Source organism: Homo sapiens, chromosome 20 (genome assembly GCF_000001405.40).
Source record: "Homo sapiens chromosome 20, GRCh38.p14 Primary Assembly".
In the NCBI taxonomy this organism is placed as follows: Eukaryota; Metazoa; Chordata; class Mammalia; order Primates; family Hominidae; genus Homo; species Homo sapiens.
Genome location: NC_000020.11, coordinates 60246676 through 60271560, shown reverse-complemented (window position 1 = coordinate 60271560; position 24885 = coordinate 60246676). Strand labels below are relative to the sequence as shown.

The following is a 24885-nucleotide window of genomic DNA, read 5'->3' as shown; positions in this document are numbered from 1 at the left end:
ATCTCTCTCTGGAGCAAGGGGTCACTCATGATAAGGACCCTACTTTATGCAAATGATTGTTTCTGGAGATATGGAGGGTAGTGCAAAATGTAGGGACATCGACTAGCAATTATTTATTTATTTATTTACTTATTTTTTTGATACAGAGTTTTGCTCCGTTGCCCAGGCTGGAGTGCAGTGCTGCAGTCCCGGGCCCACTACAGCCTCCACCTCCTGGGTTCAAGCGATTCTCCTGCCTTAGCCTCTCAAGTAGCTGGGATTACAGGCATGCACCACCACATCCAGCTAACTTTTTTTTTGTAGTTTTACTAGAGACAGGGTTTCACCGTGTTGGCAAGGCTGGTCTCAAACTCCTGACCTCGTGATCCACCTGCCTCGGCCTCCCAAAGTGCTGGGATTACAGGCATGAGCCACGGCACCTGGCCCAAGTAGCAATTTTCCATGGACTTGCATTTCTATTGGAGGTACAATGTCTATTCGTTTTAAGTGCCTATCAACAATGATATGTTTCTAATATGTTAGTTCTTTTATACTCCTTTGTCAAGATTTCAATCCAATATGACAGTCCAATGACATATTAAAAAATAAACACTGGCTGGGCACGATGGCTCATGCCTGTAATCCCAGCACTTTGGGAGGCTGAGGCAGGTGGATCACTTGAGGTCAGGAGTTGAAGACCAGCCTGGCCAACATGGTGAAATCCCATCTCTACTAAAAATATAAAAAATTAGCCAGGCAATGGTGGCACATGCCTATAATCCCAGCTACTCAGGAGGCACAGGAGAATCACTCGAACCCGGGAGGTGAAGGTTGCAGTGAGCCAAGATCGAGCCACTGCACTCCAGCCTGGATGACAGAGCGAGAATCCATCTCAAAACAATAAAAATAAAAATAAAGGCTGGCCGTTCTGACTGTGTACCAGGTGTTGTGCTAAGCATCTTATGAGTGTTAAATTATTTGATCTTCACAACAACCTATTTATAGATGAGACTGAGACACAGGGCAGCCTAGTTACTTGCCCAGTCACCTAGTTAGTGAGAAGCAGAGGTGGGAACCTAGCCAGTCTGCTTGCAGCCCCAGTTCTCCTAAGCCCTGTACTAGGCTTCTGAGGAAACCCAAACACTGTCCACTGGTCTTCCTAAAACACTCCCCCAAAGTTCTTCATCTGCTTCACTGGCAAGTGCACAGCCTGGGTGTATGCGTGCCACTTCCCTCCACACACTGAGATCACTGGAAGTAACAAGGAGCCAGGAACCACATCTAGAGTCCAGGATCCCAGAGGGATGGCTACCACCTGCACCAACAGGTAAATCTCCAAGATGCTCCTCACTGACAGAATCTCCTCTCTGAAGGTCCCCGAAATGACCTAGAGAAGGTGTCCTCAGCGTGCCGGCCTCTGACTTTTCTCATCAACAGTCATAAGACTTCAGGGAAATCAGAAGTAGTGACTTCTCAGGAAAAGGTTGAAGACCCTCCAGCAAGGATACTGTGAAGGTGCAAACACTCCCAGCTAATGAACCGAGGAGAGACATATCAGATTTCCCTCTCCAGCTCAGTCTGCAGTGACCTCCAGGAATTTTCATGACTCTGGGGATAATTGATTTGCGAGTGCTTTGATTGGAAGCAGGCCATTTTTGCCTGATGGAGGCAATCCTGTACGGGGGATAAAGAAAATGTTTTCTCATGGTTTCCGCAGAGCAGTCCCCGAATAAATAAGACACAGCAGAGTAATGAAGTAATGACAGCTTTTGTCTTAGTCTCGAAGAACGTCATTATGCAGGAATAATTCATGGCTTGGTACTGTCAGTCCTATTTATGTGATGCTCAGCTGTCAAGCCCTATGAAACCAGATTCCATGTGAGCCCTTATGTGCCACACTCAATTTACTTAGGCTCCTGAAATTCAGAGAGTTTACCAATTGTCACTTATTTAACAAGGGCCTTAACTAGCTTAACTTTTATGTTGCCCATCAGAAAGACAGCTCCTGCCTCCAAGACCAAGGCTTCTAGGGACTCAATACAAAGACTCGGACCCTAAAATGTTGACTCAAGTTACATCAAGATTTGATCACACGCATATGAGGATCAAAGTCTCTTTTCAGGAAAGGCAAAACTTTTCTTCACCTGCAATCCATGGAGATGATACCATGCTCTACATTGCTGAGAAGAAATTAATTACATGAGGAATTGGGAACGAAAGCGCATTTTCATTAGCCTCTTTTGGCTACTGGGGAATTACCAGGTGAGAAGATCTCTCTCAGAGCTGCACTAAGGACATACATTTTGCTCAGCGCCCATTTCAAGGATGAGAGTCTGCATCCCACTAAGTGGCTAAGAGCTAAGGCTTCACAGAGGCACCTTTGGTTTCTCCCAGATGTTTAAGGAGTGGGTGGCCTTTAGGAGTGACTGTGAAGGGCCATTCAGCCCATCTCCAGCCAGTTGCTCCAATGCCTGTGTGCAGTGAAGAGAAAATGACATTTCTTCTTCTAGAGCCTTGGGCCCACTCCCGCCCTTGCACACCCGCCATGCCCTGCACCACACAATGCGTTCCTGGCTGCAGTTGCCGAAATGCTCAATTCAGACTAGCATGGCGGAGAGGAAATACACTGGCTTATATAACTGCAAAGTTCAGGGACTCCAGGGAGGTCCCAGTCTATGTGTTCGAAGAACATCCCTGGCTCCAGCCCTCCCTCCTAGTAGGCTTGATGGTCACCAGGGTACAACTTAGGGGGAATCCTGATTGACCTGGCCATGCGTAAATCTCTGAGCTGATTGGTTCAACCTGGTCATGTGCCTATCCCTGAGCTGATTGGTTAGGTCCAGTCATGTGGGCATCCCTGCACTGATTAGTCCATCCTGGTCACGTGTGCCGTCCTGAGTTGTTTGGTTTGGTCTTGTCATATGTATGTCTCTGAGCTGATTGGCTTTAGTTAGTCATGTGTGCACCCCTGAGCTGCTTGGTTTGAATTGGTCATGTGTGTCCCTGAGTCGACTGATTCAACCTAGTCACATGTACATACCTGAGCTGATTGGTTCAGTCAAGACAGATCATTGCCTATCTCTAGGGGAAGGTCAGGATATTGAACCAAGTGAAATGTACTCCTCACAGCAAGGAGGGGCCCTTTTAGCAGAGAGGAAAGGAATTTGGGGCAGGCAGAAACAGTCACACTCCATGTAATCTGCAGCTAAGAGCCTTGTGAAATACTTGTTTTATCCACATGTTATAGGTGGAAAACACGGACTCAGAGAAGTGATGAAAGTTGCCCAAAGTCACAGAGCTGGTAAATGGTGGGTCCAGGATTCAAACAGGGTCTGTGTGAGCCCAAATTCTAAGACTTTTCTGCAGCCTGCTCCAACATTTCACCCTTTAGCTCTTGATTTTAAACCCTGCTAATGCCACCAACACTCACACTTAGGAACAGAGTAGAAACGCTGTGGCGTTTCAGAAGCATCAATGTTAGAGGCCCATTCACAATCCCACTTGGGCAAGTTTTCTTCTAAACAAAACTTGTCGCAGCCAATAGGAACGGGATGCCTTCTGGAGAATGTGACAGCAGGCTCCAGGGACTGGGCACCTGCTGGGTCACTGGGCTCTGGTCAGACAGGATGCAGGTGGGAGGATCAGTTTGCACCAAGGGTCAGTTAAGAAGCAAGGTGCAAGGTGCAGGGGCTGAGGTTGTCCAGAGGCAGAGAATGAAGACTGACGTTCTTACCAGCGCTGAGGCCCCACAGGCTACTCACAATCCACCTTGTGGATTGAAATGACAGGGGTTCTTTCTCACAGCACATGGAGGAGCTGTGGGTTGGACGTCCACATGGAGTGGGGGCCTGGGCTAATCTTTCACCTTTCATGCCCACAGTCTGTGTCCTTTGCCAGTTTCCATAGACTGTTTTCCCAGCCGTGTCTGATGGCAGCATTGCTGCTCCGTTTGGCCTGTGGTCCAGACTCCTGAACACAACAAATGTTCACCCAGAGCCATGGAGTGATGGGCACACCTGTCTAGTTAAGAATGACTCCCGTCCCTCAGAATACTAGTGTAACCTTCGACAGAGACCTTGGCACTGCAGAATCTGAGAAGAATCCACCAACCTCGTAGGTGTCACCATGCCACATCCATGACAGCCTGCCCTGGTCCCAGCCTCAATCATGGGGGGCCTTCACGAAGAGAGATGATGAGGTCAAGAGCCCAGCCTTTCCCCTGCTCCATCTCACTTTCCACCATCTCTTCCCTCTCCATGGGGCACGAGGAGAGCCTTTGCCATATTCAAGTGCATTCAGTGTATACTTATTGAGCACCTGTGGCATGCCAGGTCCTCAGCTGAGCTCTTTGGATAGTCTGATGAATAAACCAAATAGAAATCGTCCTGTTCCCATGCAGAGCTCACAGGAATCACAAGGGGATGAATCAGTGAGCTCGTCTCAGATGGTGACAACAGTATAGAGAAACCAGAAGCAGGTAACATGATGCAGAATGACTGGGAAAAGGTGCCTTTCTGTCAGGTACTCATGGAATGCCCATGGAAGGAGCTGACAGGTGACCCAAGACAGAGGACCTGACAGAATTTACCAGGGGAAGAGCTGGGGGCTCTGATGGGCTGGGGCTGGGCTCCACCACCTAGAGCCCCGCTTCCCTGTCACCGGGAAGGTAGCAGAGGCATGGCGGGCCCCTTAGCTGCAGCAAATGAAGGGACAGCTGCACAATGGGGAAGTCTTTGGGAATAGGCAGCCTTTTAAGCAGATTCCGAGTGTCAGATAACAGAGGCTGTTTTCCTCTTCCCTGGAGCTCATTTCCACATAGGTGGCAACACCAGACCTCCTGAGGGTCACCAGTATCACTTGGTAAGTTGTCCCTTAAACCCACTCCCCCCACCCCACCGCCACCGGAGTGTATTTCCGCAAGGAGAGAAGCAGCTGTCTCCATCAGGGAAGGACTCAGGGGAGGGAAGGAGGGGTGCTCCATGCACCACACCCCACCCCATCCGGGAACACAGATCTAAGAAGAGGCAAGGCTCGCTGTGATGGTCAGGTGGGGCTGTGTAGACACAGGAGAGAGATGAGTGAAGGCCTCCCCACTGATGCCAGGTGAGGAGACCTCTGCACACACTGAATCTCTCTAAACCGCAGCCCCCCCATACTGCCTGGGACCAACAGAAGTTCTGAAGCATTGGCAACTTCCTTGGAGGAAGCTGAGCAGCTGACAGTTGGCTCAGAAGCATCAAACAACAGGCAGTGGGGGCCAAGCTACCAGGTGCTTTCCCTGGCGAACAGGAAGCGGTGCCCATTGCAAGTGGGTAAAGTGGGGAGCCACTGAGGGTTCTTGAGCAGAGGAGGCAACAAGCAGCAGAGAGGTTATATTGAAGCATATACAGTTTGGATGTTTAAAAGCCAAATAACAACAACAATGATGACAGCTGGGCCTGCACGGTTACAGGATCCAGGAATAATCTCTCTGCTATGTACTCACAAGCACGATTTCATCAACCCCCAGAATCCCTGAGGAGGAGCCCTAGGTATGTGTTTTTCAGATGAGGCAAGGAGTCACATAGAAGTTAAAGAACCTGCTACTGGCAAGTGACAGTCCGGTCTTCAACCCAGCAACGCCTGAAGGGGCAGCCCCATTATCAATGAGGGCATCTAGGCCGCCACACTGCTGACTTCTGGGACTGGAAGATTCTTGGGGAGAGGATGCCGTGCTGTGCACAGATGATGTTCATGCACCCATGGTGAAGTCCAGGGCTCCACCCACTGTATGCAGTAGCAATCTCTCCCACATCGTGACAACCAAAATGTTTCCAGACTTTGACAAACATTCCATAGGGGCCAGGGTAGGGGGCACAATCACCCTGGTGAGAAAACCCTTTACACCAAAGCACCCTGTACTTCGGGAGAGTCCCTGGACCAAGAAAGCAGAGCAGCACCACGCAGAGCCACCACATGGTACTCAGAAGAATTTGCACCAAAGACCAGCTGAACATGACAAAAAAAAGGCAGGAGAATAAAGGCAGAGAAAGGATTTCATAGCAAGAGAGACTAGCCTCAGCAGATATTTATTTAATAGATACATGTGCTTATAAATATCTGTGACCCTGTTGTCATAGACTAAGCTCTCAGGAAGAGAAGTGTTAAGTGTCTAAGTGTATTTTTTATAGCACAAGGCCAACTGCAAGCAGGAGCTCAGTAAACAACCTTGATGACACTGGAGATCCAACGTGGATGGAGGGGGCTGTCAGAAGCCCGCCACGCTCTGAGGCCATCTTCACCCTAACCCGCTGCTGGTCCCCCCCATTCTCCACCTGTAAGCCCCAGCAGATCCCCCAAACCCAGAGAGCTCTTTTCCAAAGCACCCAGTGTCTTCCGGGTTGGCTCACAAGCTCACAGAGAAAGGGAAAATGACACAGACAGACATCTCATCCTGGAGCCGGTCCCCCACCCCAAGCTTAGCCAGGGCTTGGATCCTTCAGGAACAAGGTCAAAGCCCATCCTCCTGGGTCGAAGTCATTCTCCTTGAAAGTTTTCTGCGTGTGTAAAGGCTAAAGCAACTGTTTGTTTTCCAGGTGATTTTCCTACCAACAGGGTCACCATTTCCATCATTTCCTCCGCCTCTGTCTTCTGCAGCAGCTCTGGATACATTTTACCTTTCTTATCAGTACCCAGGGCTATTTACTCCTTCTAACTAAGTGTTATAAACACAGTTTCCTCCAGCTGTATTTACTATATGCACAAACTGTTGCTTGGCCTGGGAGATACTGAACCTGCAAATGCACCATACAAAGCCTGTGGATGTAATGGTTAAAATGTTCTTGTCTCAAATGGAAATGTTTAGCTTAAATAAAAGAAGAAAACTGTCAGAATTTTGACGTGAATGTCTCTTCAGTGGAAAAGATACCTGGACGCTAAGAATTGGTGTCCCCACCACAGGGTGATGGGTTATGAGGGAGCTTTAAGGAGCATGAGTGTCTGAGAAAAATCGTTGGAAAAAAGTGTGACTTTGACCCTTCTCGGTGTATGGCAATAGTTCTGGAATGCTGGAGCTGTCTGCTGTGCCCCACTAAATCAGGGCAAACATGACCAAATGAATATGTTGCAATCATATCCCTATTATTTTTCTGTATCTCCAATTTATTCAGGGAGCAGGAAAGATATTTAACAATTACTTAGCAGCCTTCTTTACAGAACGAGAGAATGAATACAGATAACGCTGGCAAAGATTATTGAGAGCAGAATATTGAATTATCTGTGGATGGGAGCGAGCACATGAATAATTCATTCTCCCCACCTTCCGTATGGGCCCCTCCCGGGCCTGGGAGGCCAGACTGCTGGGCTGAGCTGCGCTGTGGCAGGGTATGTGTGGGGGAGGCATGCTAACATCTTGGCTCTCCCCGTTTTGCAAACAGTGCAAAGCTTCGCGTGGAACTTGCTATGCAAAAGCAACTGCATTTCAACCTTTTTGCTTTTCTGCAGAGCATATTTAATTTCTGCATTGCTGTGGACAGTAATCAGTAATGAAGTCATTAAATGCAAGAGGGGTGGAGAGAGAACTGTCTGCCAACCTCCCCCATTAAATTCAGGTACTTTGGCACATCTCTAATTAAGATCAGGAGGCTTGGGTTCCAATTGACAAAGCTCTTCATTCCCCTGATACTTAGTCAAGAGCGCTCGAGGGCAGAGCTAATACAGCGAGCAGGGTAATGGTTGGATAATTCCAATAAAAATTTCGAGTTATACTAGATTCTAGAGGTTAACTGGTACTACCCAGAGAAGGAGGCCATTTCTGGAGGTGTTGCCAGGTCTCTTCCAGACCTACAGAAAGATGTGATATTCATGAGACCGTGGCTGAGCAGTTTGCCTAGAGTCTATGGGGGCCACCTTTAGAACCCTCAGACTCAGGACCTTCTCTTATTAAACTAATGGTGCCTCCCTCTGAGCACCCGAGATCTGCAGTGTCAAATACTCCCAACTGGATTCACCCTGGGGAGAAATAAGGGGATGTATCATGTCTATGGAAAAGACCAGTGGCCAGGTAATTCCTGGGGAAATTATATTGTTTTATTTTCCACTCATTTAGATATTTAAAGAAAACATTTTGACATTTGCTGGTTATTCCAGCTTTCCCCCAAGGAACCAGGCTTGAATGCATTAATCCTAGATTTATATTTAAGAAACCCACATCTGATGTGTGAGTGTGGGGAGTGGACAGAGGGGTAGGAGAGGGCTTACAATGTTTTGACTACTGTATCTTTAAGGATTCCTTTCTATTTAGATGACTGGAAACAGAGACGAGCCCAGAGAGAAGGAGGTAGACAGAGGAGGGGAATGGGATTCACCTTTAGTGATGTTTGTGAAGTGCAGGAAAGCTCCCCATCCACCAGGGGTCGCTCTCCGAGACAGGCTCATTTTCCATCCAGAGGTGTCCTGCCTCCATGGCCAGCGAGCAGGCTTACCTGCCCACCTGTAACAGGTAGACACCTACCCAGGTGAGGACTTAATGGATTGTGAAGACCAAAAGAGCTGCAGCCACCAAATATTCAGGTTTGTTCTGTCTCCTTGCTCTGTCCATTTCCAAAAGGCCAATCACTAAGTCACCAAAAAGCCTCCAGAGACTTTGTAAATTGTCTTTCCATATGGTTTTCAGTGATGGCCAAGTTGGAAGTCATTTGCCTGCAGTAGATGCCAATCTACAGTGTTAATTTGGGAGCTGGCAGCTCTACCTCTGCCCCACTGGATAATCCAATAACAGAACCCAATAAAACTTCTATTTGAGCTGCAAACTCTAGTTAGGTCAAGTGGCCTTAAAAATCTCTATTAAGCCATATCCCTGGATTCAATGAAGCTCTCATATTCACACTAGTTTCTTTTCTTTTCCTTGTTTTTTTTTTTTTCTTTTTTTTTTGACAGAGTCTCGCTCTGTAGCCCAGGCTGAAGTGCAGTGGCGTGATCTTGGCTCACTGCAACCTCCACCTCCTGGGTCCCGGTTAAGCAATTCTCCTGCCTCAGCCTCCTGAGTAGCTGGGATTACAGGTGCATACCACCATGCCCAGCTAATTTTTGCATTTTTAATAGAGACAGGATCTCACCATGTTGGCCAGGCTGGTCTTGAACTCCTGACCTCGTGATCCACCCACCTCGGCCTCCCAAAGTGCTGGGATTGCCATTAGCCATCTTTTTAATGCACAGTTCTTAAAAGTTATTTCACTAAGGACTTCTTATACCTCTGCATCTTGAAGAGCATGGCCTGATTAAAAAAAAGTTTATAAAAATAACATTATCAGATCTACAAGTCTTATTTATTACTGAAAACAATTCATTAAAATAGTCTGTGATGGTTATAAATAATTGAAGCCATAAAGAAACATTTAGACTAAAAAGTAAGAGCTCTTCTTCCCCACCACACTCCCACCCTAGTCCTGCCCCATGTCCCTGGGGAGGGGGGCGGCTATTAAGAGTTTGTTCTACAAGTTTTTAGAGCAAAGTTGGAAAAGTTATACTTTTGTCACAATGAAAGAAGTAACCTTAATAAGACATTTTAAAATTTAATAAAGTAACCAAGAAAGCAAGTAATAAAGCAAGAGAAAGAAAATCTTGATAAAATTATCCCAAAGAACATGACCACAGCAGGAATTAATCTAAAACTAACAAAGGCAGGCGCAGAAATGACAGTACACAGCCCCTCTCTGGCAAGTGCTAATGAATGTGCACCGTAAGAAACAATAGATAACGGCGTCCTCAAGAAGCATTGGTATGTTAAATAGAGAGTTAGATGAGAATCTTGTCGTGGGGAAATAAAGATTATGGAGATAGAAGAAGAAAATAAAAGAAATGAACAGGAAACAAATAAAATGGACTAGGTGGGTGGCTTTTGACCATCCTAAAAACTTAGTTCTCCGTGTTTTTAGTGACTGCTGGATTTGCAAGGAATTGCTTTTTTTTTTTTTTTTTTTTTTCCGGCATTATTTCCAAGAAGAAGTCTCTTGGGCAATAGCAACCACATCCTTTATCTAATGGCAGAGATGGGTGAAGCTCAGCTCTTCTGCCAGAAGCAACAGTTGCAGGCCGGTACTTTACATGCATTTCCTTCTACCTCCTAACACCTGTTGGTCAACAGAAACAAGTCCCTGAGAAATCCAGGAAGGATCTAAACACACAAGACTTTTTAGATGCCCTCACCTCGTGATGCCCAACAAACTAATATCAGTCAGGAGAAGGAACTTGGAGCCAGGTAGATTTTGGTTCAAACCCCAGCTACACCACTCAATAGCTGTGTAATATTTAACAGTTTACTTAAACTCTATGATACATAAGTTACACACACATTCACACTCACAAAGGTGGGAGGATTCCACCAATAGGATTTCACAAATAGCTATTTAATTCATAGAGAACTAAGGATTAAATAGATATTTGTGAAAAGTGCCTAGAACATAAAAAACAGTCAAGAAGTAGTGGTGAATACAGTCAACAAAAATTGAGATACATGAAAATGAAATTGAAAGAAGAGACCCATAAAAGAAAATCCCAAATGCTTTTCTCTCCTTGCCCTCGGCATTGATGGATCCTGAAGGGACAATCTGGCTTTCCCGCAGCAATATTGCTAAGCACAGTGAGTCCCTTCTCAGCGCTGAGCATTGGTTGAGCTCCTGCTGTGTGCCAGGCCCTGTCATCAGCACTCTACGTGCCTTTCCTCCAATCCTCTGAAGCTGATGCTTTTCATCAACTCCACTGTACCAAAAAGAAAGCCAAGGATAAGAGAGGTTAATTTTCACAAGTCCACACTGCTCATATGTAGTGGGTGAGTTCTTGAACTCAGGTTTTGGAGTGGTAGGGCTCAAATGCTTCACCAGAATCACATCCCGACACCCACATGTCCTTACTCCATCCCAGGAGCCTGCCGGCACTGGAGCTTCCTCCTCCTCTGCAGTGAGGCACCCTTCCTTTAGTGCCCTCGGCCGTGCCTGGCACACACAACCAGGCCGAATAAACCACCAGGCTGCCCTCTGAGACCCACCCAGCTTCCAGTGCACCTTCCCCAACTCCCGTCTCAATCACGTCACCTCTGCAGGAAGACTTCCTTGACTCCATCTGGGGAACAGCTCTCCGCACACTGACTGCTGGTTTCCTTGCTGATTTTCCTCCTCATACAATTACTGTGATTTATTTGTCTGCTTGCTTGGTTTGGTCTATCCTTCGCACAGAACTGTCTCTGAGGAGGGTGGGCACCTGGGGCTCTTGTTCACTGGCACACAGTAAAGATTATGAAGTGGATAGAGGACCATCAGCTGCAGACTGCCTAGGCACCGTCCTGATGTATCTGTCTTCCTTGCTTCCAAGCTCTGGCAAAGAATAAGGACACGGGGTCTTGTGTCCTCACAGCATGTGGGACCAGGTCAGGTATCTGTCCTAACTGCAGGGACCTGTGTCTAGGTCTACACCAATAGCATCAGCCTGCCCCACAGCAAGCTTCAGAGACAGCAGGGGCAGTGGGCATCCTGGACCCTGAAGGAAGCAGCTCAGTGAGGGCTAGTGTTCCTGGGTGCATAGACCTCAAGCCCAAGTCACTGACTTTCCTAGGGATGCTGTGAGCTAACCAAGGCCCTTTAAGGAAATCCCTTTATGTTGAAACTAGCTACTAGCTAGGACAGATTCTACCATTTGCAACTGAAAAGCATGAGCAAGATAGAAAAGCAATGGAAACATTTTAGAAAAGTAAAGAAAATGGGGCAGGTATTCAGAAGGGTGAGAGAGAGACAGAGAGAGAAGACAAAATTTCCACAGACTCTAGCATCCAAAATCTAGCTATGAAGCCAGCTGGGCGCAGTGGCTCACACCTGTAATCCCAGCACTTTGAGAGGCCAAGGCAGGCAGATCACTTGAGGTGAGGAGTTTGAGACCAGCTTGGCCAACATGGTGAAACCTCGTCTCTACTAAAATTACAAAAATTATCCAGGTGTGGTGGAAGGTACCTGCAATCCCAGCTACTTGGGAGGCTGAGACAGGAGAATCACTTGAACCTGGGAGGTGGAGGTTGCAGTGAGCTGAAATTTTGCCACTGCGCTCCAGCCTAGGCAACAGAGCTAGACTCCATCCCAAAAAAAATCTAGCTGTGAAACCTTTCCTATGATCCTAAGTATTTGTTTTCTTTCAGTAAAGGATCACGTCTTTCCTCATTGCTGCCTTACGTTTTTGTAGGAGGCCAAAACCCAGGCTTAACCCTGATTTTTGCCCTCTAAGAAAACCAACAGTTTATACTGCATGAATGGATTTTCTTGGTAATAGGAATTCTTAGCAACAACAACTGAGAGGTTTTATTTCTTCCTTTTGGGTCATATTGCAGCACTTCAGCGTGAAAGCAGGGTGTGTTATCTACACTTAGGATTTCAGGGTCACTGAAAGGGTCCACACTGATTCCCAGGCCACATAATGGATCTGCCACTCTGGCTTAACAGGCTGCCTGGACTTCCAGCATTATGATATAATTTGTTGGAATCAAGTATTGTCATATATAAAGAAAATATTTTTTCAAATATGAAGACCTCCGCAACACACACACACACACACACACACACACACACACACACACACACGGAAATAGCTGAGTAAGTAGCTATCTGCCGTGGGTCTCTCCAGCCACCAAATGGTCTTGACAGAAACAGCCACCTCTTTTAGGGAGATAGAGAGGAGAGGATTCAGAGACCACCTAGCCCTTTCCTAGTTTTGCCTTTTAGACATATGCAAGGGAAATAGTGAGATGGGTAAATAGTCCCTAGGTTAATAAAACCAAAAGACACCAACTCCATCTCACCACGCACAAAGAAGACTTTGTTCCAGAGATGGGACTCTGTCCTGGCAAGCTTCCACAATCAGGATGACCTTGGCAAGAATGCCTGGTCCTCCTGCCCCTCGGATGGCCCTGAGTAGGAGGAAGTTGATTAAAGAGTAATTTTTTAATGGAAATGCATTGTGTGAATTTCTGCCCTCGGGACAGGAGTATTTGATTAGTTACATGAGCAGGTAGAGACCGCTAAAACCTGATTAAAATTCTGCTCAGTGCCACCTTCTCTCCTCCCCACCCTCCTAACCGACACTCAGAGGCAGGTTGACTCTAAATAACACTGCAGCATATTTATCTCCCAAATCAAATCAATAGTTGGGGGCGGAGAGGCAAAATGAGCAGGAACATGGCAATTATGGGTCAGGTGAACCCACACTTGAAGTGGCAAAAATAGATTCATTCCAAGTTTCTTTCTTTCTTTTTTTTTTAATTGCAGAAAATCTTCATTACCTCTTTGTCCAAGATCCTGGTGGTTTTGCAAAGGATTCTGAGTTGGGGAGGGAACATTCTCGGGCATCTCATCTATAACAGGAGAAGGAATATACATGATTAAGCAGCTGAAAGTCCTTACAGTAGCAGCCTTGATTCCACATTTTGGTTGGTCCGTGGGGTCTCACCTTGTTTCAGTGAATTAGCTCTTCATCCACCTTCCCACTTGTCTGGTTCACAGTGTTCAATGAAGACTTGTTCTGCGATGCCCATAAAAGAATTTTGCCCTAGAGCCTTCCACTACAGGCTGACATTGATGGCTGAGTGCTCAGTCAATCTTCTCTCCTGGAAAGTCTGCTGGGTGCAGATGGCACCGTTGGATCCTGCACTACCCCAGTGCATGTGCCCCTGGGTTTGCCATGAAGATGTTGCATGAGCAGGTGCACACAGGCAAAAGCAAGTGGAGGCAGTGCATGTGGTAAGCATCCACATGTCTGCTGAATTGAATTCCTATACATAGTCTTCAACTCAAACACACACACACATGTCCAATAGATACAGCAGGTGCAGTGAGCCTTCAGGGGTCACCTACCACATGACGTGGTCCAGGAATCCCCATGCTGGAGACCACTGGCTGCCTGTTGGATTCTCATAAGAAAGGGGCCTGGGGCAGGAGGAAGGTGTTTTTCATATTTGGAATCCCACCTCTGTCATGTCCGGGCACGGCTCCCACAGGGCCACTCACCCTCTGCTGAACTCAGTCTCCTCCACCCTCACCTTGAGATGCCTTAACCCCTGGCTTGCTGGTGTGACAGGGTGCATTTTTGATGAATAATAGGGAAGCGGTGTCAATGTTTTGATGACTCTGGGGAGGCTGAACAAACCAAGGGGATCGCCGAACAGTTTGGAGGAGGGGAAGATGGGAGGCAATGTTTTGGAGGTCCTGACGAACTTGCATCTCAAAACAAAGAGAGGGTTTTTTATGCACTTGAGCCCCCGTGTATGCTGGACCCCTGCTACGCCTCAGCACGGATGTTCTGAATTTCTGCATCAGTCAAAGGCACAGACTCCAGAGTCAGACAGACCTGGGCTCCATTTCCAGCTCGGCCACTCCCCAGCTGCGTCACGTCAGACAGCTCAGCCTTCCATGTCTCAGCTTCCCCAACTACACAATGAGAATCATAATTCCTGACAGGGTTCTCCTAGGATGAAATGAAGCAAAGCACACGTAGCCTTTATCCTGTTCTGGCCCAAGATTTCTCAGCCTCAGCACTTGGGACTTTCTGTGTCAGACACTACTCTGAGGTGGGGTCATCTTGTGCCCTGCAGGATGCTGAGCGCCATCCCTGGCTTGCACCCACTAGATGCCAGGAGCACAACCCCCAAATGTGCCAATGACAATGCCCCCAGACATTGCTGAATGTACGCTGTGGAGAAGAATCCCCCTTGTTGAGAAGCATTGGTCTAGCCCATCAAGAGTACCCCCTAAGTGTTGGCTGCTTCCCGCTGTCACCAATACCATGACCACTCATGGGGACAGATAAGGAACAGGGACACTCTGCCTCGCACAGCTCAGTCTGGGCAGCCATTGAGGATCACAGACACTGAATTCAAGTAGGGTCATTCTAATGATTTGACTGGCTTTGATACTGAGTGCCTCATCCCTCTGCTTCTGTCCTTGACCCCAGACCCCATCTCTGCTCACCATCAGAAGCTCCTTATAAAAACACGGCTCTGACCATGTCATTACTCTATCTCCAAACCCATTTCTCCTGTCACTCAGATGCAACCCAAAACCCTTCCTGAGCCCCACAGGCTGTGCTCCTCCCACTGTTTCCCACATCCCAGGTCCTCCTCCACTGCTCCCACTCCCTGACCCCTAATTCATCTGAAGGCACCTGTCCCCTGGGCTCAGGTGGCCTTGCAGTTTTCCCGAAGACCTTGACCCACCTAATCTCCAGCCACCCGCTCCAGCCCTGAGCGGCTTCATCATAGCTGGCATCTCACAGCACACCCCGTGGGGCTGTCTGCTCCCTTATTTCCTGTGCATCTCCTGGCTGGAATGTGAGCCCCCCAGGGTGGGGACTTTGCCATTCTACTCACAGCTCTCACCTCAGTACCTAGTGATGTGAGAGCTATGAGCACCTGGTCCATAACAGCTGCTCCGAAGTATCTGCTGAATCCATGAGTGACTGAGAGACCAAAGTTCCCTGGCACTGGGAGAGGAGAATAAGTCACCCAGACACACTCACAGCTTTGGCTTCATTCCACAGCAGGTCCGTGGGCTCATTATGAGTCTGCCAGGAGGCCAGTGAATAAGACATAAGAGGCCATGGCCTCCCAGCGAGGAGAGGACCCTGAGTCGGCCCCCACGGCGCAGCCTTTCCCAGCACAGAGAAAAGAAAATATTGACTTCACAAATTAAAAGGAATAATATTAAAATTTTACAAACCTAATATAGGGTGGCCAGTCCCCTGCTCACCTTTCCTCAACACCGTCAGAGATGATTTTATGTGAACTCGCTGAAGCACAACATTCTCTCCAGGGTCCCTGTGAAGCTCCTCCCTGCAGATTGGGAGGGTTTTTCTGCCAGCTGCAAATGGGCTGTGGAGAGGACACCTGGCTGGTGTGTTTATGAATCCCTGGGAGTGTCCTTGTGTGTTTTCAGTTTCTGTGTCTGCAGCAGCCTTACACTGCCTGCCCTAATTCCAGCTGCTGCCACTGTGCACCACGGGGAGCACCCTCTTTCCTCTGGGGGTTGGGGGTAGATTTCCTTCTCTTGCAAATCCTTCTTCCAGCCAGACCCAGCCCCTCCTGGACCTCAGCTTCAAGGAGATACTGAGAAAGGAAGACCCCAGCAACATCACAGGGTCCTCTCATTTCTTATACTTTGCACCTGATTTGATCACAATGGACAGATGCTTTGCCTGTGTGGCACTGTTCTATTTCCTGTCGTTTTCTAATATAAAGGTGCCTCGGGGCAATGTCTCTGGCTCTGAGGGTGAGTGCTTGGCCCTCTGCCCATCCCTCTCACTGATGAAAGTGACCTAACAGTTCCTGTGCCTGGGCATTTTGGATATTGGCTTCCCCAGGAGGGTCTGTGGGTGAGCCATACCCTTCCTGTAACCTCCTTGGCCCTGCCTGACAGGCTCACTCTAGCAAAAAAATTAAGTTTCTTTCATGACATCATGCCAAAAGGACCGGATAAATTTTCACCCAATTTTGCGAGTATGTTAGCAAGAATCTGGCTTAAAATACAGGCCATGTGACACAGTCATGATTCACTTGGAAGGGCCTTGGGGCTCAGTAAGGGTCAGCTTCAGAGCAAACAGCAAAAGAGGTCACGTGGAATAAGAGGATAAAGACAGAAAAAAACGCAATTGGCTGTTTCAAGCATGAGTCCCAAATCAGAGTTCCTGAGTGGATGCACCCGAATGCTGGCGTCTGCAGTGGGGTTGCCTGGGTGCTCCATGAACCACGCTCGGTGAGGGGGTGGGGTGGGGGTAGGAGTAATGGGGGCAGGGGGCTGTTTACCTTCAGGGAGACAATCCTGTGTGTGCACCTATGGGTGTGCTATTCTGGCCTAAGTTGTAACTAAACCTAAGTTCAAAATATCTTTTTTTTTTTTTTCCGAGACAGAGTCTTGCTCTGTCGCCCAGGCTGGAGTGCAGTGGCGCCATCTCAGCTCACTGCAAGCTCTGCCTCCCAGGTTCACACCATTCTCCTGCCTCAGCCTCCCAAGTAGCTGGGACTACAGGTGCCCACCACCATACCCGGCTAATTTTTTGTATTTTTAGTAGAGACGGGGTTTCACCATGTTAGCCAGGATGGTCTCGATCTCCTGACCTCGTGATCCGCCCACCTTGGCCTCCCAAAGTGCTGGGATTACAGGCGTGAGCCACCATGCCTGGCCTTCAAAATACCTTTTTAAGAAATGTTTTATTTTGAAATTATTTTCAAAGTTATAAAAGAATTTGCAAGAATAGTACAAAGATCTCCAATACACCTTTTACCCAGATTCACTAATTTTTAACATTTTGCCTAGTTTTCCATACGTGTGCACGTGTGTGTGTGCAAGCTTGCGTTTCGGAGTCATTTTTAGGCAGGTGGCACCCACCGTGCCCATTTCTCCATGATGTTCAGTGTCTACACTCTAAGAACAAGACTTATTACATATTTTCAGCACAGTCACTAACTTCAGAAGATATAACATTAATACAAAAATCTAAATGATAGATCGTATTCCAATTTTGTCAATTGTCCCAATAATGTCCTTGATAGGATTTTTTTCCTGCACAGGATCCATCCAAGATCACTTGGTGCATTTAGTTCTCATCTCTTTAGTCTCCTTTTAATATGAAACAATTCCTTAATCTTGAGGCTTGTTACTCTACAGCCTGTCCATCAACTGGACTTTCCCTGTGTTTGCTAATGGGTAGGCTGACCCCCTGGTGGTGGGTAGACACCCTCCACTAGTATCTACCTACTGGCCTGATTGATGAAATGAGGATCCTCAAAGTGGCCCCAGAAATTTCTGAGTGTCCTAATAGGAGTTCTTACCAGGTGCCTGTCCACCAGCTCGAAGCCATGGCCCCATCCATCCACCTAGACTTCCTCTCCCACCTGACTGCACGGCAGCCTGGAACTCCACCTGGAGAGGCCACACTGGGCTGCCCCAGCCCAGCAGGGACTGCAACATCCTGTACCTTCCTGTCAGCATTTTCAGGGAGCTCCAGATGGACGTAAGGAGAAAATGAACCGCCCCCCTCCCCGCCCCCGGCCAGTGCTGGGGCTCCAAACTGCTTACAGTTAGGCTGGAGAGGGGCAGGAGCTGCCCAAGAAGGATTCCATCAGCTTCTTCCCACCTGAGGTACTGACTCAGCCACAGACGGACTTCTGTCCTGACCATCTCTCTCCTGAGCTCTCTCCAGGTAGGAATGACAGTGGCTGCAGACATACATGGGCATCAGTGCACCTGCAGTTTGCAGTAAACACCCTCCCTTTACATACCTAATGCTCACCCTTTAAGATTCTTTCCTACATGGAGATTCTGTTAAGCCCTCTCTCTGTCACTGCCACCACTACAGCCAGGAGGTCGGACCTCAAGTTGCCAGGAGCCCCAAGCATCAGGCTGAAGAAAGAAGCTGGCTGGAGAAGGGTGAGGAGCCTCCTCAAAACACGGAAGGCTGCTACCTGGGGGGCACTTGCAGCTCTGAGTCCAGAATGGGTAATGGGAGCAGCCTTGGCCCAGGATGGGTGGAGGCTGCAGATGAGCCCTTGCTTTCCCACACCTCTCTCAGGACAGTGCAGAGACATTTTCTCCACTTCCCTCATGGTGCCACAAAGGCTGCAAGTGGGGTCAGTTGCCTCATGGAGTATAGCTTGAGGATGCACCTTCAAGGATGCAACCTCCTTCAGTCCCTGTCTCCCTTCCCCACTCTCTAACTGGTGTTTCCTTCAATCACTCAAATCCTTATCTCGAGAGAAATCCCAACTCAGAGACCCCACATCCCCTCAGAAAGGTTCTTGCAGGTTTTCTGTGTTCACATCTTAAGTGGTCTGAGCTTTGGAGACAGGTGGTCTGAAGTAGACTCAGCCTCCCTGTGCAGAGAGGCAGGCAGCCAGCTCTCCTTCCACTGCCTGACCTTGGCCCCTCAGAACAAAGGGCAGATGTCAAGTCAGACGTCAAGTCAGACAGAACGTCCTGGCGGGTCTGAGGTGCCTCCGTACCAGACAGCTCCTCAGAAGCCTTGGACAGGTGGAAGTGGCAGGGGGACGAGTACAGGAATCAAACAGAAGCTGACTCCCTGGATGAGACTCAGACAAGGGGATTGCTAAAGCCCCTCTGCCCCGCAAGAACTCCTGCCTCCCTGCATCTGCTGCAGACACCTTGAAGCTAATAGGAGTGGGTGATGACTGTAACCCCTTATGAGTTATTAGCAATACTGGCAACTGCGAAATAAAAATAACCATTGAAACACTGGAAGACACCTTGAATTGCAATTCAATTGCAATAATCATTGTTATTGTAATAGTGAGTTAGAAAATGATTTTCTGTTAATAAACCAATGAGTAAAGGACGATTCCATACTGCAAGTGTGTGGGCTTGGCCCCGACCAATGATTTGAGAATAAACCCTCATCCCTGGACAGTCAAGGCGTGGGTGGTAGGGTGGGCAGGGGAAGAATGATAAATATTTTTGAATGTACACCCTCCTAGAATAGCAGCAACAAATCAATGGGCAGAGCACCTAGGAGCTGAGAAGTAAAAGACAGGCGGATAAGATCCAGAGACCTTGAATGACATTACTTATGTGACGCTGGAGTGAATAAACACCAGCCTGGGTTGGATACTCGGCACTAGAACTGTTAAGGGGGTGAGTGGAGGCGATGAGAACACTTATAGCCTGTGAGTTTCAGGGGCTACTCTGCCAAGTGCATTCTCGGGGTTCTCTTGTCCCATCCTCCAACCACTCAATCAGTCAGATAGTTCCACTGTTGTCCCCACTTTACAGGTGCCAGCAGGGAGAATCACAGAGGCTGAATAACCAGCCCACGGCCCCACCTGGTAGACGGTGTATACAGGACTCCAACCCCAAGACTCCAAGGTTTTATGTCCATCCTAAAAGACAGGGAAGTCGAGCAAAAATAAAAGAGTTGGGTCAAGGCTGTTTTGTGTGATAGGGAAATGTAATGCAGGAGAAAAACCACACACCCAGCCATATGAAATGGGAAGCAAGCACATTTGAGCACCGACAAGGTTAACCTTTTAATACAGAAATAATTCCATGTTAATGTGCTTGGTTTTCAACTTGCTGTGACACTATAGCCAAGGCATTTGAATCTGTTTGCGATTTTAAATGTCAAAAAATAGATGCATTTGGAAGTGGAATTTTGAAATTATGTGTTTCTGGTTCCCTCCCCTTCACATTCCTTTCCTTTCAAGAAAAATAAGGTGTGGCCCCATACAGCACCTTCTAATGAAATTTTAATGTATTTTGGAGTATTTTCAGGCACTCTACAATTTTATAGAGATGAAAATATAAAAGCTCTCAAAAGACTTCAAAACTGAATTAGTCTGCAACATATATTTAAGCTGTATTTCTTTTTGACCCAGTTTATTTTTAAAAGTCCAAAAAATATCAAAGGAGCTTCTTTCTCTCTCTTTTTTTCTCTTGGTTCTTCTTCATAATTTAACAATTATTGAACAGCTAGTATGTGCTGGGTGCCTTACAAGAATAATGTTATTCAATTAAAAGAGCAACCTGGGAGGTTGGTTGTGCTGTTATTTCTATTTTAAAGGCAAGGAAACTGCACCTCAGGGAGGACGACGGACCCTGCAGGTGAGGCAATGAGCCAGGGTTTGCAACAGGGCTTATGTCTCTTAATTTGATACAGCTGGGGTATTTGGTTCTTCCGTAGTTTTCCATTGTTGCTATAACCCATTGCCACAAATTCAGTGACTGAAACACCACCAATTTCCTATCTCACCCTGCGGCAGTAAGAGGGCTGGCATAGGTCTCACGGGGCCAAAATCAAGGTGTCTTAGGGCTGTGGTTTCTCTCTAGAGGCTCTGGAGAGAACCTGCTTCCTTGCCTGCTCACTGCGTGAGTGGAACACATTTCCTCACTGTTGCAAGACCAAAGTCCTGTCTCCTTGATGTCAGCTGCGGGCCCTGCCCAGTGTCTAAAGGGAGCCTACACTTCTTGGCTTGTAGCCCCCTTCCTCCATCATCCCAGCCAGCAGTGCTGAGTCTCTTCATGCTTTGAATCTCTTCTCCTTCCTCTCCTGTCTCAACCCTCTGAGCACTCTTCCACCTTCCTCCAGTTTTAATGACTCATGGTTACATTGGGCCAGGATGATCCAGGAAAATGTTTTTGCTGTTTGTCTTTCCAGCATGTTTCTCCAGCCCTCTCCTTTTTTCTGGTGACATAGGCTCTCTCTGCCCACAGCATGACTGAGGTGCATCCAAGCTAAGGCCCAGTTATTCAGAGTCTCCTCTTGCACGCGTGTCTGTCGGAGCCGCCAGAGAAGATCACCCCACAGCACAGAGCTGCCTGGCTGGCTGCCCTGTCACATGCCAAGAGCCCACCTGTGCTGGTACAGAGTAAGAGCAATGCATAAAGAGAGCCCAGCAAAGGAGAGGGGGACAGTGGAAAGATGGAGAAGAGAACACGGGGGAGGGAGTGTGGGTGGGGAGAAAAGAGAGAGAGAAGGAAAGAGAGAGCTCAATGAGCATCCTTCAGTCCTTCTTGAACACTGGGCCAATATTTTAATCTATTGATTGATTCATTGTAGGGGTAATTTTATTCAGATTTCAGTGATTTACAGCTGAGAAAATCCAGGGCTTAGCAATATTTTGTTCAATAAGAGAGAGAAATGGTCAGCCTACTCACCACGCACCTTCTTAGACTGTTAACACATTACCCTAAAGCAACACTCTTCAGTGCCTGCCATGCCCACAGCTGGGAGCTCAGCTCTAGGGCTCCACCCAGAAGGCCCTAGAGCAGGGAGCGGAGGTTCCAGAACGTGGTACGCACACCAGCAGCATCAGCATCACTGGGGAACTTGATAGAAAAGTCAATTCTCAGTCTCCTCCCCAGACTTGCTGATTCAGGACCTCTGGGGTGGATCCCCTATCCATGTCTTAAGGAGTCCTTCCGGTGATTCAGTGCCAGCCTGGGAGAAGCATGCCACGGAGGTGAGGAGCACAGGCTTGCAAGCTGAGTCACCCTGGCTCTGAACTGCAGCTCAGCCACATAGCAGCTCTGGGACCTGGAGGAGACGACCTCGGCTCTGTCATCTGTAGCTTGCTATCAACGAAATGGCCATAGTAATTGTACTACCAAGACTCTGACTGCAAATGACAAAACTGAACTCAATCTGAGTTATAGAAAAAAAATGCTAGCTCATGTAAATGGAATTTCATGAGACATATGGAAATGAAGCGAGGCTGACTCTGTGTTCAAATGTTCTTGACATGTCCCCTCGATTGCTTTCTTGGGGATCACCTCATGTCCAGACAGTCTTTCTCCATAAGAAGGAGGGACAAGCACAAAGCCCCTGCTTCCATGAAGTTTACAGTTCTGATCTCACAGCAGGAGACCTTTTCTCCCACCCCACCCACATGATCTATTCTTATGGGGCATTTGGGGTCTCATTCTCATCCTTACACAAATCCCAAGGCCAGGGGATGGCCTGTGCTGATTGAACTTGTCTGAGTGACAGCTCCCTTGATGGGAAGACAAGGGCAGTTAGCCTCGTCCCAAACCCACTGAGTGACTTCCCAAAGAATCAGTGAGTTTATACACGTTAAAGAAAAATGTGAGACATCATAAAATTTTAGCATATGGATCAATTACTACAACTCTACTGCTATCATCACTGCTATTCTTGCTATTATTACTAAACATAACCAGAAATTTATGAAATGTCAAGAGAAAGAAATGTGTTTCAGAGGAGGGATGGAAGGAGAAGAGTCTTTTTATAAAGATGTTTCAATCAATAAAATTCCCTACCTACTCTAAAGAACTGGATAAAATACAGAGGAGACCATTTTTGCAAGGCTGAGTCCATGGCATCAGGAGACTTCCTAACACAGTCAAGACTGTGGTTAAACCTGCACCAAAAGACAGTACAAGGCCCAGATGAATTCTAGGAAATTAGAAAATCAGTAAATAAGGAATCAATATTGATGTGGTTTAGCTCTGTGTCCCCACCCAAATATCACCTTGAATTGTAATAATCCCCTCATGTCAAGGGAGGGACCAGGTGGAGATAATTGAATCATGGGGCTGGTTTCCCTTATGCTGTTATTGTGATGGTGAGTGAGTTCTCATATAATGATTTTATAAGGGGCTTCCCCCTTTGCTCGGCGCTCATTCTGTCTCCTGCTGCCCTGTGAAGAGGTGCATTCCACTGTGATTGTAAGTGTCCTGAGGCCTCCCCAGCCATGCGGAACTGCAAGTCAATTACACCTTTTTCCTTTATGAATTATCCCACCTTGGGCAGTTCTTTATAGCAGTGTGAGAACAGACTAATACAAATATCAAAGACTTTGGGCAATGGAGAAAAAGCTTCCTTCCCTTTCCTTTCCTCCTCCTGGAAGAAGGTGGACGTGCATGTAAGTACTGGAGTGGGGTGTGTGTGTGTGTGTGGGAGGGGGGGGGGCATGCATCTGTGTGTGTTCACAGAAATATTATTTGTTTGATAGCACAGAAACAAGGCCTTCATCCCCAAATGTTAGTATTTAAAATTCCAAGAATTAGGATTCTTGGGGTGCATGCCCTGCTAGACCCCATGAACAGGGTTCTGAGAGGAAAACCATTGAAAACTTCTCAATATACCTTATGTTGGGATTACTTCTCTAGAAAAGCAACACGTAAAGAGAGCCCAGTGACAAAGAGGGTGAGAGGGAGACAGAGAGAGAAGAGAACCTAGTGGAGAGAGTGGAAATGGGGAGAAGAGAGAGTGAGAAAGGAGAAGGAAAGGAAGAGAGAGAGAGAGAGAGAGAGAGAAGGAAAGAGAGAGCTCAGCCAGAGAACATCCTACCATTCTCCCCAAACACTGGACCAATATTTTTATCTATTGCTTGATTCATGTAAGGGGCAATTTCACCATCTCTAGAAAAATGGTCTGAGGCCGGACGTGGCGGCTCAAGCCTGTAATCCCAGCACTTTGGGAGGTCGAGGCACGCAGATCACGAGGTCAGGAGATCGAAACCATCCTGTCTAACACGGTGAAACCTCGTCTCTGTAAAAACACAAAAAATTAGCCGGGAGTGGTGGCGGGTGCCTGTAGTCCCAGCTACTTGGGAGGCTGAGGCAGGAGAATGGCGTGAACCTGGGAGGCGGAACTTGCAATGAACGGAGATCGTGCCACTGCACTCCAGCCTGGGAGACAGAGCGAGACTCCATCTCAAAGAAAAAAAAAAGAAAAAAGAAAAATGGTCTCAGGAAATTAGTGTCAAAATATGTTATTTGGTTGCTCAGTGTCTTCCTTTCCAGAGGGCTCCAAAAGGGGCGTGTTCGGAGAGAGACAGAGCCAATGAGAAGCTGCACCACTTTCTCTAAGGGGTCGCGGGAGCCCAGAAGCCCAGCAGCATCTCTTCCAGAACATTATCAAAGCTGTCACAAAAGCCCACCCAGAGCCTAACAGAGGGGACATGAGACACCGCCCTTTGAGGGAGTGCAAGGTGCTATAAGCCCCTGTGGGACAGACATCTCTCGTGGCCTCTTCTGGAACATGCGGGCTGCCGGGCAGCCCTGCCTTCCTCCCTTAGCCTCACTCCTGCAGAAGCCAGCCATCTCTCCCCATCCCACTTGCCTTGCTTCACCCCAGCTCAAGACATCACCTAATTCCTGGGGCTTTAGAACTCACTCTTTAAGCAGCTGTCCTTGTCACTCCAATTTAACTTAGACCAGCAAATTGGCCCATGTGTGAAAGATGTGTTGAATTACTTCTCACAGGTATCCTCAGACCCATCTTGCTCGTTGGGTGCTTGGGAGGAGAGCCCTTTGGGATTAACAGAGAATGAGGATACACACTTGCAAGCACCCCAAAATGTCCCCCACTGCACCTCACCCCACTGCCAAGGCATTATTTTAAGATAAGCAAGTGAGCAGTGGCTCA

At 47.6% G+C, this 24885-nt stretch overlaps 2 long non-coding RNA genes across 2 annotated transcripts in view; both read right to left on the bottom strand.

The window, feature by feature from the left end:
* Positions 1-15770, bottom strand: part of LOC105372698 (uncharacterized) — a 31484-nt gene extending 15714 nt beyond the window's left edge. Inside the window, exon 1 of the long non-coding RNA NR_171673.1 lies at positions 15708-15770. This is a non-coding gene — a long non-coding RNA (uncharacterized LOC105372698). The remainder of the gene's footprint in view (positions 1-15707) is intronic.
* The window catches only part of MIR646HG (MIR646 host gene), a 183765-nt gene that overhangs the window by 50696 nt on the left and 108184 nt on the right, over positions 1-24885 (bottom strand). The gene's annotated exons all lie outside the window — the stretch shown is intronic.